This window comes from Homo sapiens, chromosome 1 (genome assembly GCF_000001405.40).
Source record: "Homo sapiens chromosome 1, GRCh38.p14 Primary Assembly".
Lineage (NCBI taxonomy): Eukaryota > Metazoa > Chordata > Mammalia > Primates > Hominidae > Homo > Homo sapiens.
In genome coordinates this window covers 228,955,686-228,980,246 of record NC_000001.11, presented here as the reverse complement: position 1 = coordinate 228,980,246, position 24,561 = coordinate 228,955,686, and the positions used below count along the sequence as shown (strand labels likewise).

Genomic DNA, 24,561 nt, shown 5'->3' with positions numbered 1-24,561 from the left:
TGGTTCTCATCCTGATGAAACTGTTGGCTTGAGCAGCATTCTTCAGAATGCTGAAGGGCCCATAGTGTGTGGTGATCAGCATGAAAGAAGAGAACATATCAAGATGCGTCACGCATGGTATGGACCAGCTTGTTTTGTAGAACTTTTGTTTCTTCTGTCTGTGCAAATGTGTGTTTCTGTGTGTCTGTATATGTCTCTGTGTGAATGGGTGTGTGCAAATGTGTGTTTGTGTGTGGGTCTGTGTGAGTGTGTGTGTGAATGTGTGTGTCTGTGTATTATGTGTCTCTGTGAATGCGTGTGTGTCTGTGTGGATGTGTGTGTGTCTGCATGTGTCTCTGTGTGTGAATAGTTGTATGTGCGCTGGATCACCACGTAAAAGCTATGTCTTACGGTATATTGTGGATTATGATTTTAAAAGTTGAAAGCCCTGATCTAGAGGGCTGGCATTTTCCCTCAGTGCCTACAATGTGTCTGGCTTCAGCAGATGCTTGTTGGATAAGTATGTGAGTTAACGTATCAATGAAAGAGTTAAATTGATAGCTAGGGAGAGTAGTGCTGATTCCTCTCAACTTCTTCTGCTCCAACAACTTCCAGTCCCTTCCCCCACTGGGCTGCAACCCATCTTCCCATACACTAACTGTCCCTTCCTCCACTTCCCCTGCAGGAGGGGGCCCCAGCCCCGACTGGCCTCATCAGCGCACTGACCTGGTGCTGCACGAGGGAGGATGCAAAAGCAGAACCCTCCCATTTGGGTATCTACAAAGCTGAAGACCCAAACTCCACTGCGTGCTGCGGTGGGTGGTGTGGCACAGAGTGGTGCCTGGCACCTGGTCCCTCCACTAAGCATCGGCACCCCTCACTTCTGCCCCAGCCCTCTACCTACCCATCCCCGACTCAACTCCTGCACAAGGAGCAGAACAGCATCCTGGAATCCACGCTGTGCAGCCCCCTGGCAGACACACACCTGCGCCCTTTTTTCCTTCCTTTGCCAGGTGTCTGACCCCACTGGGCTCAGGAAAGGCGGAAGCTCTGCTAGGGGTGAGTCCAGAGGCTGACAAGCTGGTGCTTCATAGCAGTGAGTTTGGAAGGTGGCCACTACAGTCACCATCTGGAAATGCAAAGTGTCCCCGAGATGGTCACTTCTCAGCTAGCTCTGGGTGGAACCCAGAGGCTGTGTGGTGTTGTACCGCACCTGAAGGTCGCCACAAGCTTCCCTCCAGAGAAAATGCCTTGATGGGTCTCACTTGTTACTCTGCTTTCCCTCCAGGGAACCTTTGGGAACTGAGCCGGAGTCAAACATTTGGCTGAGATTAGGCATTGGGCCAGACTCACTCCTGACACGCTGCGTCAGCAAATCAGGGCAGAGCAAAAGCGGCCGAGGCACAAGTGAGGCCAAACAACCTGGAAGACACTGAGCAGAGAGAAGGCGGGCTGCTGGCTGGGACATGCTTTTCCAGGGTCCCTGGAAGAGCTTTCCTTACTCGGGGAAAGAGTGGAGGACATGGAGATTTGACAGCTAGCTGCTTAGCAAGGGATGGAAGCAAGCTTTGGGAACACAGATTGTCTGGGGACAGGAAGCAGAGAGCAGGGCTGGCCAGTGAGCTTCCCTGGGGCCATCCACATTCCTGTTAGTTCTGAGGGTAGCACAGCTACCTCCCATTTGTCTTGTTGCCTGCTGCACGTAGCATATAGGCTATGTGCAGACTAGGGCACACTTGGGCATTCAGTGGCTTGTAGTGCATGATTGTTGATTGAATGAAGGACCTTGTAAGTGTCTTTAGGAAGAACTTCTAAGCGCTCTCTTGATGCCAGAAAGCAGAATTCCAGAATTGTTTCCAAGTAAAGCAATTAACATGTAAATTTAAAACAAACAAACAAAAAACCTAAATGTCACAAGAGGCTCTAATGGTCTTACTAATTGGGCACAAAATGAGGGTAGGATTTCATTCCTAAATCGCCAGTGTTTATACTTCACTCCTGGCACATAAGTGCACAATGAATGTTTAATGAACGAAGATGCTTTGATTTCCAGGGCTAAAGAAAACCTTCTTCCTACTACCTTCATCTCCCACCCTGACCCACCCCACCAACACACACGCACCCTACACCATACCCATACACCACACTGCACACCATAACACACACACTCCCCACGGCATAACACACATCCCACACCCCACCCCAAAAAACACACACCATCACACACACAAACAAAATACACACCCCACACCACAGTACATATCCCACACCATAACACGCACATTATAAGACACACACTCCACATTCTAATACACACTTCACATCTTAACACACACCTCATGCCCAACACATTACATACACCCCCCCCATACCACAACACATACACACACGCATACCCCCACCACAGCACACACACACCTTCCCATAACACATAGGCACATACCTCTCACCATAACACACACATTCCACATAATACACATATACATCCATACCCTAACATACACACACACACACAACACACCATAGCACACACACACAAACATACCTTCCCCACATACAAAGCTTTCAAGGCCTGAAAATCTCTAGAGATATTTTCTTTTAAATTGAGGCCTTGACCCTTATATAAAACCTCTGTACGTTTGCAGATAAAGTCTCCTTATCCGTTACAGTCAAGAATGAATGTTCGCCACACTCTTCCTTGCGGGCTCCTTTAGATGAAGGCCAGGAAGAGAGCAGATGTGGGTGTGGAGTGGGTGAAGAACCAGGCAGGAGCAGGTGGGGCCAGCACTCCCTCCCCGTTTCCTCTCCCTTCTCCTCTCCTCCCCCAGCCCTGCGGACCAGAAATCCAGGGGACAGTGGAATGATCTTAAGGAGTAAGGAGGCGATCCTGTCATCACAGCCCTAAAAGGAATCAGCTTAAAAAGAAAAAGGTGTAATTTACACGGAAAATCCACAGCCTTTCAGAAAAGGACAGAAACGAAGAAAACAAAACAGATTTAGATCACAAGCTTGGGCGTGGGTTTTCCAGTGGCAATTCAATTAGAAACAAAAAGCACCTAAGCCAGTAGGTAGGTGTTAGAGCTGCCTGTCGGAAACAGGGAACACCATTTCTTGGTGCCAGGTATCACAGAGGAATAAGCAGCGGGGCTCAGAAGTGGGATTCAGATTCTTCTGTGTGAAATGTGACCTATGCTTCTGATTAGCATTTAAATATAAAAATAAAAATACCTGGGTTTGAAGAATCACAGACATGGATGGCGACCCTGAGACCAAGGGGTGAGATGACTCTTCTGAGACTATACATATACTGCACGCCGTCACACACACACACTACATCATAATACACACACATGGGCTTCCACCCTAGCCTCAATTTGCAGGCCACATGCATGTCTGTCTTCTTCATCCTAACCATCTCAGGATGTCAGGGGCAGTCACAGGACTGGTCTGTGTTTGGGAAGATGGTGCCAGTAACTGTGTGGCAGGTTTAGAGAAATCACTTATTGATGGTCTTCAATGACAGTACGTCTGAGCAGTGTTTTATTAATAGAGCTTGGACTGTGGTATGAACAACTCTCCATCGGGGCCATGTCTTCAGGACCACACCACAAGACACCACAGGGACAACCAGATGCTGCCCAGCTGGGAGAGGAGAGTCTGTGGGAATAGACAGGAGTCCCCCAGGAGCTTCAGAGAAACTCTCCACAAGCCCAGCACTGCATGCCACCTGCAGAGAACCAAACTGCTACCGGAAAGCCAGGTCTCGAGCTCTGAATAAATTCCATGAGGGCATCTTTCAGAGTGTCACTTCAACCTGGGCAGGTTACTCATCTCTGAACTCCACGTTTTGGGTGCTGTCTATGTCTTTAACACGGGAGCAACTTAGGGCTCTCAGCCCTAAAGAATCCTGGACAAGTCTCTGTCATGGCACCCAGAACCAGGCAAAGCAACGAAAAGGCATTTGGAACGAATGAGTGAATGAGTGAATGAATGAATGAATGAGATAATAATGTATTTATTGGGAGGCCGAGGCGGGCAGATCACGAGGTAAAGAGATCGGACCATCCTGCCCAACATGGTGAAAACCCGTCTCTACTAAAAATACAAAAATTAGCTGGGCATGGTGCGGGCGCCTGTAGTTCCAGCTACTTGGGAGGCTGAGGCAGGAGAATCACTTGAACCTGGGAGGCAGAGGTTACAGTGAGCCGAGATCACGCCACTGCACTCTAGCCTGGCGACAGAGTGAGACTCTGTCTCACAAAAATATATATATATATATTTAATCTCATCAGATGAACATATATTCATCTCTCAAAGCATCTCCTGCCTGCCCAGTAAATGACCGGCATGATGGTCTGCAGCTCTCCTTTCCCCACATGGGTGACAGGGAACTAATGAAACCCAGAAATGGAACTAGGCCATGAGCAGTACAGGAGGCTTTTGGACATGAAAATCAGGTTTGGTGTGTGCTGTGTGCAGTGGGCCAAAGAGAGGGAAGGGGAGGCGGCAGGGACAAGGAGGTGGGGAGGGGCAGGTGGGAGGCAGGGCCCTCAGTGCTCCCTGTGCAGATGAATGCAGGCCTCCAAGAGCACAGCGGGGCACACTGTCTCCATCCCTGGCCCTCCGCTGTCTCCAGCATTTGGTTCCCCCTGGCTGGAATGGGGCATAAGGAAGGGAGCATAGGCAGGAAGCCCAGAGCTCTGAAAAAGGACAGAGGCTTCCGAGCCTAGGCAGGGCTTGGAGCCATGTACATGTCGGACTACTATAGAACTAGCGCCCTGGGGCCTCAGGAACATGGGGGCTCAGATGACAGTGGTTCAGCCCCTTCCAGTCCTGTGCTCTTGGACTGGGCTGGAAGCTGAGGCCAGGGAAGGCAGGGAGCAGAGCCCAGGCCCAAGGGAGGGCAGGAAGTCAGGAGAGCTAACTCCCTGGCCAAGGTATGGTGTGCCATAGCTTTTGTTAGGCAGAAGAGGCCTGGGCTTGCCTTTCTGTGTCTTCTAAAGCATCTCGTCATGGACGCCTTTCATTCCCCACTGGGCTCTTTCCCTGGTGTCTCTTTCCTTCTTGTCGATTCTCTCTGCTCAGTGACGGCCATGTGTCAGCTGGCCAAGACCACTGGGGTTTATGGGGCAGCCTCTCTTCTTTTCTTTTTTTTTTCTTCCTTTCTTTTCTTTTCTTTTCATTCTTCAGGAGGGTCTGCACTATCTCATTCTTTTCATTCTTCAGGAGGGTCTGCACTATCTCATTTAACTCTAACAGCACAACATGAGTTGCCCCATCGTACAGATGGGAACACTAACATTCTAAGAAGTGACAGCCCAAAGTCACGCAGGAGCAGAGAGAGCAAACTGAACCCCAAAGTCAATGCCTTCCAGAGTGGGCTGCTTCCCCTCTTGGGCCACACCTTTTCCCACGCTCCTGCTCCCTGAAGAGCCTTTCCCTCCTCTCATCTCTGGCTGTCGTGGGTGTGAGGCTCCCTGGGCTTGTCTTCAGCACCGAGAGTGAAACCAGGTGTTTTCAATAAGAGATTATTAGGTGAGACTCAGTTGAGGTGCAGCCAGAGAGCCCCTCGGGAGAAAGCTGGAAGAGTGGTTTCCACGGTGACTTCAGAGCCAGCAAGCCTCTGGCGGACATGCTGAGCTTCTGTGATGCCGAGCCTGGGGTGGCAGGTGTTCCCATGTCCACCCCAACCCTGTCTCTCCTGCCATCCTGTCAGGTGAGCAAGAGGGGCTGTAGGGGGAACCCCCCAGGCATCTCTCTTATCACTCAGGCTTCTTCGGGCTGAGCCGATACCAGGGGCTGCTCAAGCATCCACACCTGCCCTGCGCCTCACCAGCACTCACCCCACCCTGAGGCTCCTCATAGGAAACAGAAGGGGGAGATCAACATCAGACACAAATGCTGCATCAGCCCAGAGAATGATGAGCTTAGTGTCAAGCTGAGCTCGACTTCTGGGGAGAAAGGGAAAAAGAAAACCCAAAAAACCTCTGACAAAACTGAGGCACAGAGGTCACTTGGAGACCTAATGTTACTTCATTAATATTTCCCTAATGGAAATATTAGTACTGATGAAAATCCCCCAGGGAGAGGGGTGGGGAAATGGGTGCTTTAGTTGGATTCTCCTGGTGTCCACACCCAGGTGGGTGTGAGAGAGCTGCACTGGGAGTTGCTCAGAGGGAGGACAGGATGAAGGCTGATAGGCAGTGGGGTGGGGAGCTGGGAACACAGGTCCCAGGAATAATGTTGAGAATCAGGGCTCATGATCAGCTCCACTAGTTTCTTCCATTGGTCTCATAACAATTTCTCCTGAGCAAATAAATTCAGTTCAATACAGAGCAGACTGAGACAGAGTAAACGCCCCAGAAGCTTCATTTATAGGAACAGGGAGACAGAGATTCAAGGTCATACCCTTGGACCTTAGACAAAAGCCAGAACTGCAATGAGACCTCTAGGCAGGAAGAAATGAAGGGAAACCAGAGTGAAGTCTCTAGAGCAGGTGGGGAATAGTCCCTGAGAGGCCGTTCCATCGTGCACACATGCCACAGGAATGGGACTTACGTCACATGTCATCAAGCACACATGTCATGGGTTTCGGGTCTTAAAGACCCTCACCTTGGATCTAATTCTGTCAAATTCCACAGGTGGAATTTGGTGAAAACTTGCCATTGTTGCCCATGACTTGATAACCAGTAACTTTAGGGCCTGAACCAATATGGCCCGGAGGTGTGCACCTCACCCCTATGTTGGATGCACACAGAAGGAGCGCATGAAACTATGAGCCCTCGATGTGCGGATGCAGGCGTGTGGGCTGCACAGTGCCTGGCTGTGTGCTCACCAGGCATTTGTTGAATGAATGGATGAATAAGTTTTTAAATCAAGCCTGTTACATAATAAGCAGAAAGCAAGAATTTTAAACTGGTCACTGGATACTTTCTGAGAGTTTAACAATATTAAAATTATAGTTAACATTCATTGAGTATTCAATATTACAAAGGTATTATTTAGTTGAATATTCAAAATATTCCAAATAATCGTATCCCTCATTTTAACTAAAAGATTACTGAGGCTTAAATAGGCCCCATAACTTGTCCAAGGGCACACAGGTAGATAAGAGGCAGGGTAAGTACGTGAATGCCTGTTCGCCTGACTGCAGAGTCAGACACCATATTGATGACCTCTCTATAGAACCTGGTATGAAAACTGCCACAAGCGTGTGGCATAATGGCTAGGTGCATAAAATAAGATTCTCAGAGAGCGAAAAGCAAGACAGGAAGGAGGCCAGGCCATCAGTTCTGCTCTTGGGTCAGGAGTTTAGAAATTCTCTGACCCTTACGGTACTTGTGAAATGAGCTAATGGCCCAGTTAGAGGATCCCCAGGGTTTAACATCACAAAAAAGTCTCAGTTCAAGCTGCCCATTCCCTGTGGACCTTCTCCAAGAAGCTAAGGGCTGACTTTCACCAAATGGCCCAATTGCCTTCCACTGGAGCTTGAGAGGAAGTGCTCTGAAGAAGTGAGGTCAGAGTTGGGGTGGAGGGGGTGATGGAGGTGCCTTACTAGTGGTTCTTTTGTTTTGTTTTGTTTTGGTTTGGTTTATTATTATACTTTAAGTACTAGTGGTTCTTAAGTGGTGCTCCCATAGTCCCCGGGCCTCACCCAAGGAGGTCCCTGGGCTAGAATGGAATAATAGAGGGATTTTACTCGAAATCAAGCTAAAATTGAATTAACACATAAAACAGGGGCCAGGCGCGGTGGCTCACGCCTGTAATCCCAGCACTTTGGGAAGCTGAGGCAGGTGGATCACCTGAGGTCAGGAGTTCGAGACCAGCCTCAACATGGGGAAACCCCGTCTCTACTAAAAATACAAAATTAGCCGGGCGTAGTGGTGCATGCCGGTAATCTCAGCTACTCGGGAGGCTGAGGCAGGAGAATTGCTTGAACCTGGGAGGTGGGGGTTGCGGTGAGCCGAGATCAAGCCATTGCACTCCAGCCTGGGCAACAAGAGTGAAACTCCGTCTCAAAACACACACACACACACACACACACACACACACACACACAAAACATTCTCTATGTTTAAATTCCTCCTATAAAACGCTTTTGAAACTTTTTTTTCTTTTTTGAGACAGAGTTTCGCTCTTGTTGCCCAGGCTGGAATGCAGTGGCATAATCTCAGCTCACCACAACCTCTGCCTCCCTGGTTCAAGCGATTCTCCTACCTCAGCCTCCTGAGTAACTAGGATTACAGGCATGGGCCACCACACCTGGCTAATTTTGTATTTTTAGTAGAAATGGGGTTTCTCTATGTTGGTCAGGCTGGTGTCGAACTCCCGAGCTCAGGTGATCCACCCGCCTCAGTCTCCCAAAGTGCTGGGATTACAGGTGTGAACCACGGTGCCTGGCTGTTTTTGAAACTTTTGTGCTTCTACTAATTGTTTGCTAAGAAGAGGTAGCAGAAAACAAAATAAATGAAATAGGAGTAAATTAATATAAAATTATATGCAGCTAATTATGTTGAGTTCAATAGTTTATTTTTAATGGGCTCATCTACTCTCAATTTGATAGAGATACTTAGAATACAGAAATGGTCCCTGCTGGCTGTTTCATTCCTAGTTCATATACTAAAATTGGGACTCAGAATGACGGAACTGCTGCTGGGCTTTGGAGCCAACAGTTCCCCATCAGAGACCAGCATCCCCACGGACCACCAACTCCCTGGCTCCACGCAGGCCACCTGTCCTCTGGAAACTTTTTGCTCCTTCCTGGAAAATGGGAACTTATGGCATCCACCTTGCCAAGTTGCTGTAAAGGTTCCAGATAATGAAGAAGGCACCTGGGGTGTAAGCAAGTGTCCCGAGGTAGCTTTCATTACTGCTGTCTTCGGGAATCATCCAAAGAGAAAATGGTTCTGCAATTTTAAGTTGTTTCCTGTGTGAACAAGTTTGGGAACTACTGCCTCAAATTTTGTTCCCTCTTTATTTAGGCAGACTTTTATGACAATTTAGAGGCAAGATCTTTTCTTCTGGCTATGGGCAAAGGGGGACCAAGTGACATGATGGGAAGTGAGAGCCACGCCTCTACTGACTTCTGTTCATCATCTCCTCCACCAGCAGCAGCAGCAGCAGCCCCCTCCTCACCATCTCTGGCAGCATCACATGAGGTGCGGGAGGTGAGGTAGGCTGCGGTCACAGACACAATCAAACCCTCTCTCTGTGGCTTATCGGATTAAAAGTCGATTTTTCACTCATGCCATGTGACCAATGTGGTTGGTGTGCTTTCTGTTTTGTGTCGATATTCATGGAGCCAGGGTGAAGAAGGCTCCATCTTGACCTGTATTTCCAAGATTCCCAACAGGAAATAAAGAGAGAACCCGGGCTGGGGGTTGGGGGCAGCAAACCGTGCACAGGCTTATAAACCCTCTGCCTTGAAGGAATACGCATTCCTGCTACCCCTATTCCATTGGCCGAAGTTGGTACCACAGCCCTGCTTCACTTCAGAAAGGAAGGGGAGTGTAGCCGCCCTGAGCTTCGACAGCAGAGAGCGAGACACGCTTGACAGACAACTCTAACCACCACCAGAGTCGCCACCATCCAGAGTACTTACTTCACCAGCTGAGCATCTGTCATTGCTAGTGATAAGCCTGCAAACGGGGTTCAGGGATGACTTCTGTGAGGAGCAGCCAGCTGGTTGGTGGGGCATGAAAAGGCAACTCACAGATGAATCAGTGAAGAGCTCAAGGTTGATGTTTTACCATTCAAAGGCAACAGGAAGGCACTCCAGGGACCCTAGGAGTGTCACAGGGTATGGAAGTCACAACTTCACGGACAAAGGGACCTGAATCGGTTGTAAGAGAAAGGCAGGGCTAAAGCAACTAAGAGATGGGGAGGGGTATTAGAGGCAGAAGAGCAGAGGGGAAAAGGCTCAGAGACAGAAGAGCCTTCAGTGCATTCTGAGAACTGCACGTAAACCCATGGAGCTAGAAGGAGGGCTGCTTTAGGGAGGAGGTAGAAAGTGAGGGCAGTGGCATGGCAGCATTGGGGTAGAGGGGAAGCATCTTTTTTTTTTTGAGACAGAGTCTCTCTCTGTCACCCAGGCTGGAATGCAGTGGCGCAATCTCGGCTCATTGCAACCTCCACCCACAGGTTCAAGCAATTCTCCTGCCTTGGCCTCCTGAGTAGCTGAGACTACAGGCACACACACCATGATGCCTGGCTAAATTTTTTTCTTTTTTCTTTTTTTTTTTTTTTTTGTATTTTTAGTAGAGATGGGGGTTTCACCATATTGGTAAGGCTGGTCTTGAACTCCTGACCTTGTGATCCGCCCACCTTGGCCTCCCAAAGTGCCGGGATTACAGGCATGAGCCGCCGTGCCCAGCCAGGAAGCATCTTTTTGAAGTGCTCGAGTTCAAGGCTTGGAAAAGAAGGCTTTACCCTGTAGGCTGCTCAAAATTATTGTAGGCTTTTTTTCTTTTTTATAATTTAGACAGGGTCTTGCTCTGTCACCCAGGCTTGAGTAAAGTGATGCAATCATAGCTCACTACAGCCTCAAACTTCAGGGCTCCAGTGATCCTCCCTCCTCAGCCACTCTCATAGTCAGACCTACAGGCACATGCCACTTTGCCTGGCTAGTTGTTTTATTTTGTATAGAGACGGGGTCTGTCTTGCCATGTTGCCCAGGCTGGTCTCAAACTCCTGGCCTCAAGCAATCCTCCTGCATCGGCCTCCCAAAGCACTGAGATTACAGGGGTGAGCCGCCATGTCCAGCCTCCATGGCAGGCTTTTAAGTAGGAGGGTGACATGTGCAAGGCAGTGCTACTTGGTGGTGTATGGTTGGGGAGGATGGGCACAGGCTGGCAGCAAGGAGGTCGGCGATATCACGCATCCACAGTGTTTGGACTATGTAGGTGTGAAGGGAAGAGGCCTGGAAGGAGGGAGTCTGGGGATGGAAAGCAAAGTGGGGAGGGGCTGACCATTGCTTGGACCAAAGTTTTCAGTGAAAATAATGAGAAGAGCCGGACAAAACAGAAAAAGACAAGAACAAAAACACGTCTGAAGGCAGAGAATAATGGCCAAGGCAGTGAGAATGTGAAAGGCCACAAAGAGAAAGTCCGAGAGAGGCGGACCCAGCACTTAGACCAACACTTCCCTGCAGGGCAGCAGCCAGTTCCGGAACAAAAGAGAGGCTATTGAGCTGAGAAACTCAGCAGAGCTTTTGGCACTCTCCTGGGACAGAGGCACAAAAACCTATGCTCGGAACATGTCAAGGAGGAAGGTGCCTGCTGAACGCTCCCAGCTTTCAGCTGGGGCCCGAGATCACAGCGTGGGAATAAGACAGAACTGGACACTGACCCTCACAGGCACGGGCAGCCAGCTTTGAATTAGTGCCGTCCCCAGGAGACGGAAGTGATCTTCTTGGTCTAACTGCAAAAAAGAAAAATTACGGTAACTCTCATTTAAAGATAGAAAAACTCTACACAAATGTTTAGCAAATGCGACCCGGCACTAGATAGAAAAGGCAATGTATCAAGATCAAGTTGCAAGGTTAGTTTCACATCTGAAAATCAATAAAAGTAATTTGATGTGGGGCCGGGCGCGGTGGCTCACGTCTGTAATCCCAGCGCTTTGGGAGGCCGAGGCGGGCGGATCACGAGGTCAGGAGATCGAGACCATCCTGGCTAACACGGTGAAGCCCTGTCTCTACTAAAAATACAAAAAATTAGCCGGGCGTGGTGGCGGGCGCCTGTAGTCCCAGCTACTAAGGAGGCTGAGGCAGGAGAATGGCGTGAACCAGGGAGGCGGAGCTTGTAGTGAGCCGAGATTGCGCCGCTGCACTCCAGCCTGGGCGACAGAGCAAGACTCCGTCTCAAAAAAAAAAAAAAAAAAGTAATTTGATGTGGGAAAAAAATCATACAATCATCTCAATAGAAGCAGAAAAAAGCATTTTATACAATTCAATGTTTGTTCTTAATTTTTAAAAAGGAACTCTTAAGCCTGTAATATAATAGAACTTTATCTAATTAAAAATATAGTTAACATAATATTAAATAGTAAAATTAAGTTTTCTCCTCTGAGGTTGAGAATGAGACAAGTCTGTTTACTATGTGTATTTTATTAAACATGGTACTAAAGGTCTCAGACAGTAAAATAAAGCATATAAAGAAATGCAGAAACAAAATGTATAAGAGTTAGCATGGAAATAATAAAACTGTCATTATTCCCAAATGACATATTATATGTAGAAATCCAAATGAATCTACACATAAACTATTAAAATTAATTAATTGATGTACCAAGTTCTCTGGATGCAAAGTTAATATGCAAAAGTCAATTATATTTCTACATAGTATCAGTAGACAATTGTTAAAGTTTAAAAAAATTCATTTAGATCAAATAGCTAGGAATAAATTCAACACAAGATTTGCAAACCTACACAGAAAACTATAAAACATTCCTAAAAGAAATTTAAAAATTAAATAAATAATATACCATATTCATGGATTCAAAAAAACTAAATATTTGGAGGTATTGATTGTTTCCTAAAGGGTCTATATTGATTTAATGAAATTCTGATCAATATCCCAGCAGAATTTGTGGTGGAAACCGACAAGCTGATGCTATAATTTATATATAGCCACATGTAAAAGGCTAAAAATCGCTAAGACAAACTTAAAGAAGAAGAAAATAGTTGTGGGACATGCACTACTAGACATAAAGACTCATAAATCGATAGTAGTTAAGACAGTGCAGGACTGCAGCAAGAATATATGGGTAGACCCATGGTACAGAATAGAGTCCAGCAATAGGCCCACATTATATGGATATGTGATTTATGACAAAGGTAGCACATAAAATAATGGAGAAAGGATTTTTTTAAAAAACAAATGATGCTGGGTTGATTAGATATCCAAAAAACGAATAATCTTGACGTTTATCATATACCAAAAGCAATTTCAGGTGGACCACAGATCAAAATGTGAAAGATAAAATAATAAGGCTCATAGAGCATAACATTGGAGACTGTCTTTGTGACTTTGAGGTAGAGAACACAAAAAGCAGTAGCCATAAAGGGAAAGATTGATAAACTGGACTATATTAAAATTTATAACTTCTGTTCATCAAAGTATACCATTAAAAGAATGAAAAGAAGATATCTGCAACATGTAACAAAAAGGTTCATAAGAAGAATAAATAAAAGACTCCTACTGATCAATATGAAAAGGACAGACAACCCAGTAGAAAAATTGGCCAAAGACCTGAATAGGCACTTAACACATGAGAACCTCTAAATAGCTAATAAACATATGAAAAGGTGCTAAACCTTATCAAACATCCCGGAGATTTAAATTAAAACCATAATGAGATACCCCCTCACAACCACCAGAAGAGTGAAAATGAAAAGGACTGACAATACCCAGAGTCCATAAGATGTGGAGCAACAGAAACTCTTGGCTCTGCTGGTGGGAGTATCAGCTGACTCAGCCACCCTGGATAACCATTGGAAACTGAATACGCAGACCCCGTGGGCCAGCAGTTTCATTCTTAGGTGTATCCTCCCCCTCCCCAAATGCATAAACAAAAAAGCTTTCTATTGGCAGTATTTATAACAGCCAAAATCCAGAGACAACCCAAATGTCCCTTGATAGTAGAACAGAGAAATAAATGGTAGTCTATTTATGCAATGGAATCCTATACAATAATGAAAATGGTGCTTCATGGAAGATCAGAAACGAATCACACAGACATCAGGTTGGGCAAGATAGGCCAGAAACTAAAGAGCATGCACATACTGTGTGATTTCATTTACATAAAGGTTAAAAACAGGCACAAGCAATCCAAGGTCTTAGAAGTGAAGCTGGGGGTGCTTTGGGAGGGAGGCACACTCACCTGGTAGGGTGTGAGGAGGGCTCTGGCATGCTGGTAACGCTCTTTGTACTCATCTGGGTGGAATGGCACGGGAGCGTTCACTCTGTAAAATGCTCTGAGTTGTACCCTTACAGATAGTGCATTTTGTGATGTGTTTGTTATATGTCAACAAAAGTTTTTTTGTTTGCTTGTTTGTTTTTTAAATAGAAATAAAGAAGAGGTGAACGTTGGGCTTGGTAGATGGCTCCAGCTCCTGGGCGTGCTTGTGACTGTATTTATGTGGATGGCAGTTCATTTAGCTCAGAAACATCTTCAGCTCTCAATGGAGCCAGGTTTGGCATGGGCAGCAATTTAATAGCTCAATCACAATTGCAATTTCATAGCACCTATGAAGCAGATTCTCTTGCAGAGAAAATAGGGGCCAGCACAGATGGGTGGTTCTCTTTACCAAATTCTTCCAAAATGCACACACTTCGCCCTGGGGCTCCTGTCTCCATGGGTCTTGAAACATCTCTGAAAACCAGCCTGCCCTTCTCTAATGCTTTTTCCCTTGTCCTGCAGACTTGAGAAGGGCTCTGTCTGCTAGATCTTTTGCAAGCCTCTCAGAAGTCAAGACACTCCTGAGCAGTTGCCATTTTTTAAGGCTCCTGGAAATACATACACTCAAGCCTGGAGTATTTCCAGGAATGGAGATATATGTGTGAGTGTGGGTGTGTGTGTATAAAATATATATACACGTGTATATATATATATATGAATATATATATATACACGTGTATATATATAGGTATATATATACACATACACACACATACTTATACAATACAGTGGATTCCTGAACAATGCAGGGATTGGGGCACTGACCCTCCATCCAGTCACAAATCTGCTTATAACTTTTGACTCTTTAAAACTTTAATTACTAATAACCTCTTGTTGACTGGAAGCCTTACTGATAACATAAACAGTTGGTTAACACATATTTTGTACATTATATGTAATAAAACTGTATTCTTATAACAAAGTAAGCTAAAGAAAAGAAAATGTTATTAAGAAAATCATAAGGAAAAGAAAATGTATTTCCTATTCATGAAGTGGAAGTGGATCATCATCAAGGTCTGCATCCTCATTTTCTTCACATTGAGCAGGCTGAGGAGGAGGAGGATGGGTTGGTCTTGCTGTCTCAGGGGTGGCAGAGGCAGAAGAAAATCTGTATATAAGACACACACACAGTCCTCCAAGACAAGGTAATAACAATTATGGTATATTTTAATTTTTCACATTTAACAAATTCATAGTTTTAGCATCGCTGTCTCCCTGTTCACCACGCACACATAAAACACAATGACCGTGTGGATGATCTTATTTAAAGATACAACTAAATCCCTAAATTTGATGCCTTTCTGAAGGTGGGGCAAAGACCAATAACGCATCTTTCCACCACTCACTACTACCCCGTTGCCAATGACAGCCATACGGAAAATGTTTTAATGTACTGCTCACAGCAACCACCTGAGCCCAGCATTCGGGTTCCCATTTCCATGGTGAATAACCAGGACTGTTAAGTGACTTCCTGGGGGTTCGCAGTGGCCTGCCGCAGACCCAGGCCTGGCCGTCTGTCCTCTCCCCTGTGCCTTGTCTTGGAGGCTCACTGTCTCTGGTATGGATCAAGCTGCTCACTCCAGCCCAAGACCCTTCCAGGAATGAGATTTATTTACACACAGCAGCAGTGTTTACAGACAGCAGGATGTGGCCTCTCTGAGTTGTCCTGTGGAAGCAGAATGCTGTCCTGCAGTGTGTAACAAGGGGAGGGGACATTTGGTCACTCCTCACTAAGGGACACCTCTTTTCCTTTCTCTCTAGCCCCTCCAGGATCCAAACACACTGAGCAAGCAAGGGCAGCTGCTTTGGGTTTTGTTCATCTGTTTTTCTTGTATTTTAATCAGTACACTGTAGGGTCGGAAGGGTCCCACCCACGACTGGGAGCTTGAAGATCTTTCCAGGGGCCGCTGGGTGGTTTGCTTCAGCTCATGTGACTCCTCCTATCACATCTGAAAAACTCTGAACTGAGTAAACTCACATTCCATTTAGGTGAGATAGCAAGTTCCAAATGATGAAAACAGTTTGCAAAGAAATGTGCTAGAATATTTTGAAAACAGCTTGTACTTGAAGGAATGCAGGGAGAGTGAGATTAGAGAGAGGGATTGCTTCAATCACTATCAGAAATTCCTGAGCACAATCTTTGGTATATGGGCACTTTTTTTCCTTATAAAAAGAAATGTGACTAAAGAGTGGAGAAAATGCCCCCTCCATTTGTCTTCTTGTGATCCTGCCCACCTCCAAGGTCCAGCTCAGCTATGACCTCCACTTTGGCCTGGATCCCACTCCAGCCTCAAACCTCACTCCTTCCTCTGAACCACTGACTGGCTGTGATATTTCCTTTGATACTTAATCTCATAAGGTTTTATATTGCATCGCTTATCTTCCAATAAGCAGATTGTGAGCTATTACAGTGCTGACAAAGATCAAATTAAGGCTGAGTCCAGTGGCCTACGCCTGTAATCCCAATGCTTTGGGAGGCCAAGGTAGGAGGATCACCTGAGCCTAGCAGTTCAAGACAAGCCTGGTAACAGAGTGAGACCTCATCTCTACTAAAAATAAAGAAAATTAGCTGGGCATGATGGTGTGTGCCTGTAGTTTCAGAGACGCCAGAAGCTGAGACAGGAGGATTGCTTGGGCCCAGGAGTTCGAGATTGCAGTGAACTATGTTTGCTACCACACTCCAGCCTGGGCAACAGAGCGAGATCTTGTCTCTTAAAAAAAATCACGAATACTATGTAGCCATAAAAAAGGATGAGTTCATGTCCTTTGCAGGGACATGGATGAAGCTGGAAACCATCATTCTCAGCAAACTAACACAGGAACAGAAAACCAAACACCGCATGTTCTCACTCATAAGTAGGAGTTGAACAATGAGAACACATGGACACAGGGAAGGGAATATCACACATCGGGGCCTGTCAGGGGGTGAGGGGCTAGGGGAGGGATAGCATTAGGAGAAATACCTAATGTAGATGGCGGGTTGATGGGTGCAGCAAACCACCATGGCACGTGTATACCTATGTAACAAACCTGCACGTTCTGCACATGTATCCCAGAACTTGAAGTATAATTTAAAAAAAAAAAAAGAAAAAAAATCAAACTGATGTTTGATGCCATAAATATTTGGTCAATATATATTAATTTTATATGTATAATTGTGTGCATTTCAAAGAAGAAATTTTAAAAATCCTAATTAAAATGGCTTTGGCTTCGAGGAACAGAAATCCCTGACTCCAACGTCCTTGTCAGTTAGAGATGTATAATCACATATGACAAGATGTTCCAAGGTGGTGCAGCTCCAAGTTTGGCTCACCTGATAACTCAACAACGTCTTTGGGGACCAGAGATCTACTCTTTCTGCTCTGCTGACTTCCACAGGTTGGATTGGTCTTCAGGACAGTTGCCCTCACGGTGGTAAGTTGGCTGTGCAATTCCAGATATCTCATCTAAAACAAAAAAATCCAGAAGAAAAAGGACTGCCTCTTTCTTGTGTATTTTTTAATTGTGCAAAACTCTTTCTCAGAAGCCCTCCAGTAAACTGAGAGGGGAGGAGATGGGAGGCAGGAGGATCACTTGAGGCCAGGAGTTCAAGACCAGCTTAGTCAACATAGCAAGACCCTATCTCTTAGAAAATAAAGGTAGGGGGTGGTAGGGGGAAATGACAAATATTGGCAAAGATGTAGAGAAATTAGAATCTTTTTTTATTGCTGGTGGGTATGTAAAATGGTCCAACCACTGTGGAAAACAATTTATCAATTTCTTAAAAGATTAAACAGAATTACCATATGACCCCAAAATTCCACTCCTAGGAATATGTGCAAATAAATTAAAATTAGAGACTGGGACAGATACTTGTACACCAGCAACAGTATTCACAAAAGCCGTAAAGCCACTGATGGATGAATGGATAAATAAAATGTGGTATGTCTGTCCAATGGAATACTATTCAGTCACAAAGAGGAATTAAACTTTGATATATGCTAAAACATTGATTAACATTAAGGAATAATGCTAAGTGAAATATGCCAGTCACAGAAAGACAAATACTGTATGATTCCACTTACATGAGGTACCTAGAGTAGGTAATTTCATAGAGACAGGAAGAAGAGGGGTTATCACAAGCTAGGAGGAAAGAGTTGGGAGCTATTATTTAATGGGTACAACATTTTTGTTGGGTAGAATGAAAAGGTTTTGGAATATAGATGGTGCTGATGGCTGCACAACAATATGAATGTGTGTAATGCCACTGAAGTGCACACTCACGAATGGTTAAAATGATAAACATTATGTTAGGAATATATTACCACAGTAAAAAATATAATGTCTGCCACATGAGTCTGCTTCTTTTCTTAGCTTCAAAGGTTATGGTGTTCTGAGTTTATTCTCTACTTAACCCGTTTTGCTTTGTTTTGTTTTGTCCTGTTGATTTGATTTTGTTGCAGCCATCACGATTTACACGTGACATTACAGGACAGACTTGTGGATGTGTCTGTTACACCTTCAGTAAGGGTCCTTCCATTTGGCAGAGGATTGCACAGATCCCAGAGGGGAACCATACTGACATAAAGGAGGAGCTTTCATCAGCTTAGCGTCAAAATGAGGAACATGCTGATTTTTTGTTACGCTTAAGGAAAACAAAAACAAAAAAATCCCCAAAAACCCGACAGTTGTCTGGTGTCGACTTCTTTTGCCTTTACTTTTGTATGTGTGTGCTTCATAAAAAAAAGCATAATTCTAGGTTTCTATTCTGTATAGAGATCTATACAACTATAAAACCCAGAAAATACATATATATATATAACTACCAAAAAAACTATAAAAACGGAAACTGACAACACTAATGTGGTAGATGTTTTGCAGACACTAAATAGATATTTTCAGTGTGCCTATAGCCTTGAATTTGCAGTTCTTTTCAGTTTGTAACTCCCATCCCACCATACACTCTGGGATGATGTCCTGCTCCCACCACTTTTTCTATATGCAGGGCTGCCAGCTTCCCATTTGCTGAGCATGTGGGGTGTCACCTGGCTATCAGCTGGCCTTCCTATGCCTCTGTCTGTTGACTTGTTATGAGCTGTGATCAGTAACTCTCGCCACATGAGGCCAGGCCTAGAAACACAAAACTCCAATGGAGAACCTGAAAATGCTGCTAAGAATGTCACCAGGATAATCCAGAATGGCTTACAGATAGAGTTTTAAAATTAAAACACAAACTTAAACATTCTCGTTGAGAACAGTCAGGCTCCCTAAGAATATCTCTGTGAACCTCCAGTGGGTCCCAAATCCCTGGTGTCCCAGAAAGCACACAGGCCTCACATTCAGAACAGGTTGACTTCACTCCCCTCCACCCTCATCTGCACCCTAAGAGGGAACTAAAAGAGAATTTTTTGCTGGGCCTGCTTCCTTCCTCCTGCACGCATGGCCCGTTGGGCTCTGCTTTAGGGCTGCCTTCTGGGAGGGGCCCTCTCCCCTCTGGTCAGAGGCCGAGGGGCAGCTCTGGGCTGGTCCTGCCATCCTCAGTTTCCCATCTCCATCCCTAAACTTCAACGTTGGACTCATTTCCTTACCCTGCCTTCTTCTTAGTCTCTTTCCTATCTCTAAGTCCCCAGCACTTTTAATAATCCCCAAAAGGAAGGACTTGTGGATTTAAAGGAATGACTTATGGATTTAGTGGAAAGCTAAAATTCTCAGAAGAAAAATAGAAGCAAGTTTGCATACACTAAAATATCAACATTTGGGGATTAGGATGTTGGGGCAAGAGAATAACCCCAATATATGGCACTGTGGCATACTGGCCACTTCAGATTAAATATATAAACCAAAACTAAAATTCTAAGCCCCCACAACCAATTGTACAGACCCCCTCTGGGCCATGAGAAACCTGAAAAACTGAATTCCTGGCCATGATGGGAAGGAAGTTTGAACAGGCCTCCTGTTACTCCCTGCCTTTTTGAATTTAGGTACAAGTGACCAGCACTAACATTAAAATAGAGATCCTAAGACTAGCAGAACGGACTCTTCAGCAATAAGATACCAAATTCCAACCTGACTCTGGTATAGCATCACATGACAGATAGCAGATCCTGAAAGAAATAAAAATATTTTACCCTAAAGTAGATTTCTTTGACATATTTTGAAATGGTTCTGCAAAGTTTTCTTTTTTTTTTAATTTTATTATTATTATACTTTAAGTTTTAGGGTACATGTGCATAATGTGCAGGTTAGTTACATATGTATACATGTGCCATGATGGTATGCTGCACCCATTAACTCATCATTTAGCATTAGGTATATCTCCTAAAGCTATCCCTCCCCCCTCCCCCCACCCCACAACAGTCCCCAGAGTGTGATGTTCCCCTTCCTGTGTCCATGTGTTCTCATTGTTCAATTCCCACCTATGAGTGAGAATATGCGGTGTTTGGTTTTTTGTTCTTGCGATAGTTTACTGAGAATGATGATTTCCAATTTCATCCATGTCCCTACAAAGGACATGAACTCATCATTTTTTATGGCTGAAAAGTTTTCTTTTGTGGGGAAAATTTTGTGCTTGTAGAGAATCACATTTAGTGCAGCCAGAACTTTCCCGGATGTAGGAGAATTTAACTAAGAGTCTGACACCTTTTAAGGTCTCAAAAAAGGTATTTACTATCTATTCTCTCTGAAGCCTGCTACGTGGAGGCTTTCTCTATATAACAAGAACCTTGGCTTCCACAAACCCCTTTATCCTAACTTAAGTATTTCTTTCTACTGACTTGAAGTCTTTAGCTGAACTCTTTCAATGACTTGCCAATCAGAAAATCTTTGAATCCACCTGTGAGTGGATTCCACTCACAGGAACATCTTTCCACTCATAGTATTCCCTTATGAATGCACCTATAATCTGCCACTTTGAGACGTCCTGCTTTTCCAGGCCAAACAAATATATACCTTACATGTATCGATTTATGTCTGTCTGTAACTTCTGTCTCCCTAAAATGCATAAAACCAAACTGTAACCTGCCCACCTTGGGGACACTTTCTCAGGACTTTGTGAGACTGTTCTCTGGGCCGTGGTCACTCATATTGTCTCAGAATAAGCCTCTTTAAATATTTTACAGGGTTTGCTTTTTGTTCTTGTTGTTGCTGACAAAAGAAATTGGAAGGCCTTAGAAGCTGCCTCAGAACCAAAACCTTTCTAATCTTTTGTTCCTCTCTCACCCCACACCCTCTTCCCCCAAGTGCAAGAAGGGACTCTGGAATTTTCTTATCTGAGAAGAAGATAAGTGATTAAAAGCCACAAATGCACCCAGATAGATTTTATTTGTTCTTCTGAGGACAGCTCCGATAGATTGCCTGGGAGGCTTTCTACATAATAAGACCACCTCTGTTCACAGTGCAGTTCTGCCCCTCACTTTCCTGTAACTTGCAGGTCCCATTCAGTTTCCTAAGAATATTTACAAGATAATATCTGCCTCCCAAGTCCTCTCAATTCCCCTAAAAATTATTTGCAATCCCGTAAATTGCTTTCATTTTCCCCATCTCCCTCTCTTCTATGAAGAGAGTATATAAGCCTCAACCATCTGGCCCTTCTTTGAGTCTTGTACTTGTGTGACTCTCGTGTCCATGTGCACATTAATACATTTGTGCATCTTATTTTCTGTTAATATATTTCTTATAAATTCATTTCAACAGATTTAGACTTGAACTTTCAGAGGGAAAGTCTCGACTTCCCTGTAGGAGGGTTTCTGTCCACGTGTGTCTTCTGAGCTTAAGCAGCACATGAATTCAGTAACTAGCATCTACCAAAGACTTTATTCTCCAAACAAAATGAAATAGATTTCTAGTTCGAAAGAAAGCAGCAGGTATACATGGAAGGAGAGAGGAACAGGAAAAGGGAGACTCATTATACTCAAAGAAGTTTACTCCTGTCTTTTATGGGAGGCCGTGAGGCAGCAGGAACCTGACCTCCCTTGCTGACTGTCAGTGATATCACTAGACAAGTTCCAGTAAACACAACTGACCATGCGGCATTCTTCATTACTGACAATTTGCAATTATACTTTGTACATCCCAGCAAGGGGTTTGGCCTTGTCCTTTTCCTAGTCTTGGTTAGGCATTCCTCCTTGTGGGATAATATGACATTCTGGGCAGTACATTTCTCGGGGATTATTGTATTTTTCAGGTCTTTGGCCTAATGCTTGAGAACATCAACTTAAGTCATGAATAATGGACCTGAAATGTATTCTCCGTGGGCACCCACTGCTTAGGAGCTTCAGAACTTGCCCCGGTCCTCGAATGCAGTATTTCTCAGTTCCCACCATCCAGTTGGACCTAAATAAAACCATCCCTTAACCTAGGAAGCACATGTACATTTTGTTTTGTAGGTGGGAGAAGAGCACACTACTGGAAAAATCTGAAATCATTTAGGCTGTCAGGACAAGGAACTAAGGAAACAGAACTCCAAACTTAATGAGCATTTTCTTGGCCACCACAGCAAAGAGCTAGCCGAGGATCGGGTAACTGTCACCTGTGCAGCGCTTAAGCAGATCTTCAGTTTCCAGAATGGGAAAGTCCCCAGAGAGTCCTGAGGCTGCCAACACCACTGCGAAGATTGGTTCCAACTGGGGCTTAGAGGATCAAACAAAAGCTTCTTTCCTCCCAGTGGCACTGATGCGTCGTGCCTTCTCTGAAATTCTCCTGTCAGCTTCCAGAGAGACTCCAAGTCATGGTGCAAGGGTGAGGATAGAAAACTAGTACAGGCCCCAGCTGGTAGCACCAAGGGAAGAGGTTGAACACTACTGTCTAGAGCATGGACTCAGCCCTGGCCATCGCATTCAAATTCTGTGATCTTTGAAAGTTACTTACACTTTTTGCACTTTAGTTGTCTCATTTGTAAAGTGGGGAAGACAATGCCTTTTTAAAAATTATGTTATCATGAAGAATAAATAACCTTATACATACGAAGTAGTCAGCAAACCCTGGCCCATAGCGTAACCGCCCAGTGGGTTCACTTTGCCCACTGCTTAGATAGAGCCGATTTATCAAGACAGGGGAAATGCAATAGAGAAAGAGTAATTCATGCAGAACTGGCTGTGTGGAAGACCAGAGTTTTATTATTACTCAAATCAGTCTTCCCGAGCATTCCGGAATCAGAATTTTTAAGGACATCTTGGTGGATGTGGGGAGGCCAGTGAGCCAGGAGTGCTGATTGGTCAGGTCAGAGATGAAATCATCGGGAGTCAAAGCTGTCTTCTTGCCCTGAGTCAGTTCCTGGGTTGGAGCCACAAGATCAGATGAGCCAGTTTATCGATCTGGGTGGTGCCAGCTAATCCATCAAGTGAAGCATCTGCAAAATATCTCTGCAAAACAGCTCAAGCACTGATTTTAGGAATAGTTTAAGGAGGGTCAGAATCTTCCGGTGGCATGACTCCTAAACCATAATTTCTAATCTTGTGGCTAATTTGTTAGTCCTACAAAGGGAATCTAGTCCCCAGGCAAGAGGAAGGTTGATTTTTGTGAAAGAGCTATTATCGTCTTTGTTTTAAACACTAAACTATAAACTAAGTTTCTCCCAAAGTTAGTTCAGCCTGCATCCAGGAACGAGCAAGGATAGCTTGGAGGTTAGAAGCAAGACGGAGTTGGTTAGGTCAGATCTCTTTCATTGCCTCAGTTACAATTTTGCAATGGCAGTTTCAATAGTAAGTGTCAGGCCTCTGAGCCCAAGCTAAGCCATCATATCCCCTGTGACCTGCCACGCGTACATCCAGATGGCCTGAAGCAACTGAAGATCCACAAAATAAGTGAAAATAGCCTTAACTGATGACATTCCACCATTGTGATTTGTTTCTGCCCCACTCTAACTGATCAATGTACTTTGTGATTTTCTCCACCCTTAAAAAGATTGTTTGTAATCTCCCCCACCCTTAAGAAGATTCTTTGTAATGCTCCCCACCCTTGAGAATGTACTTTGTGAGATCCACCCCCTGCCCACAAAACATTGCTCCTAACTCCACCGCCTATCCCCAAACCTACAAGAACTAATGATAATCCCACCATGCTTGCTGAGTCTCTTTTTGGACTCAGCCCGCCTGCACACAGGTGAAATAAACAGCCTTGTGTCTCACACAAAGCCTATTTGGTGGTCTCTTCATATGGACACATGAGACAGTAAGTGGCTTAGTAAATAATAGCTATTAGTAATACTGCAGCATCAAAACAAGAAACTGTAAAACATGTTAGAGTCACAGAAGCATTGGATCTTAGACTGGAATAAATCTTAATGGTCATCTAGTTCATCTCAGTCCAAAACTCCCTGGCCCTTTAGAAGAGTGTTGCTGCCCTTGCCCACTCAGCACTGCTCAGGCCTTTTTCTTTCTAATCTGCCAACTCCTCCACATGCCTGGGATAAAACCACAGGCTTGGACCATCCTACTCAAGCTTGAGGAGATAACCCTTTTGCAAGCAGAGAGTGTGACTCACATGGCTTTATGTACCCTGGCTTCTCCAGAATTATTACATGTGCAGTCTTTATCACATTGCAGGAGTTCAGACTATGACTCCCCTAAAATGTGCTTCTTTCGCATAAGGATTATTTGAGCTGATTATTTTCAGAAACTTTAGACACAGGAGAAACTGTAAAAATAG

The 24,561-nt window shown here is 44.8% G+C and overlaps 1 long non-coding RNA gene across 1 annotated transcript in view, besides 2 other annotated features; it reads right to left on the bottom strand.

Annotated features, from left to right (window-relative positions):
* Positions 352-958: an enhancer, noted in NCBI's record as "H3K4me1 hESC enhancer chr1:229115036-229115642 (GRCh37/hg19 assembly coordinates)". NCBI's record gives its function as "activates a minimal SCP1, AML or CMV promoter by ChIP-STARR-seq in naive H9 embryonic stem cells {active_cell/tissue: H9 hESC(naive)}" and the evidence as "EXISTENCE:reporter gene assay evidence [ECO:0000049][PMID:30033119]".
* The window catches only part of LOC105373143 (uncharacterized), a 16,656-nt gene continuing 7,044 nt past the window's right edge, over positions 14,950-24,561 (bottom strand). The window contains exons 2-3 of the long non-coding RNA XR_949234.2: positions 17,252-17,384; positions 14,950-15,046 (exon numbers count right to left, since the gene is read on the bottom strand). This is a non-coding gene — a long non-coding RNA (uncharacterized LOC105373143). The remainder of the gene's footprint in view (positions 15,047-17,251; positions 17,385-24,561) is intronic.
* Positions 22,158-23,018: an enhancer, noted in NCBI's record as "H3K27ac-H3K4me1 hESC enhancer chr1:229092976-229093836 (GRCh37/hg19 assembly coordinates)". NCBI's record gives its function as "activates a minimal SCP1, AML or CMV promoter by ChIP-STARR-seq in primed H9 embryonic stem cells {active_cell/tissue: H9 hESC(primed)}" and the evidence as "EXISTENCE:reporter gene assay evidence [ECO:0000049][PMID:30033119]".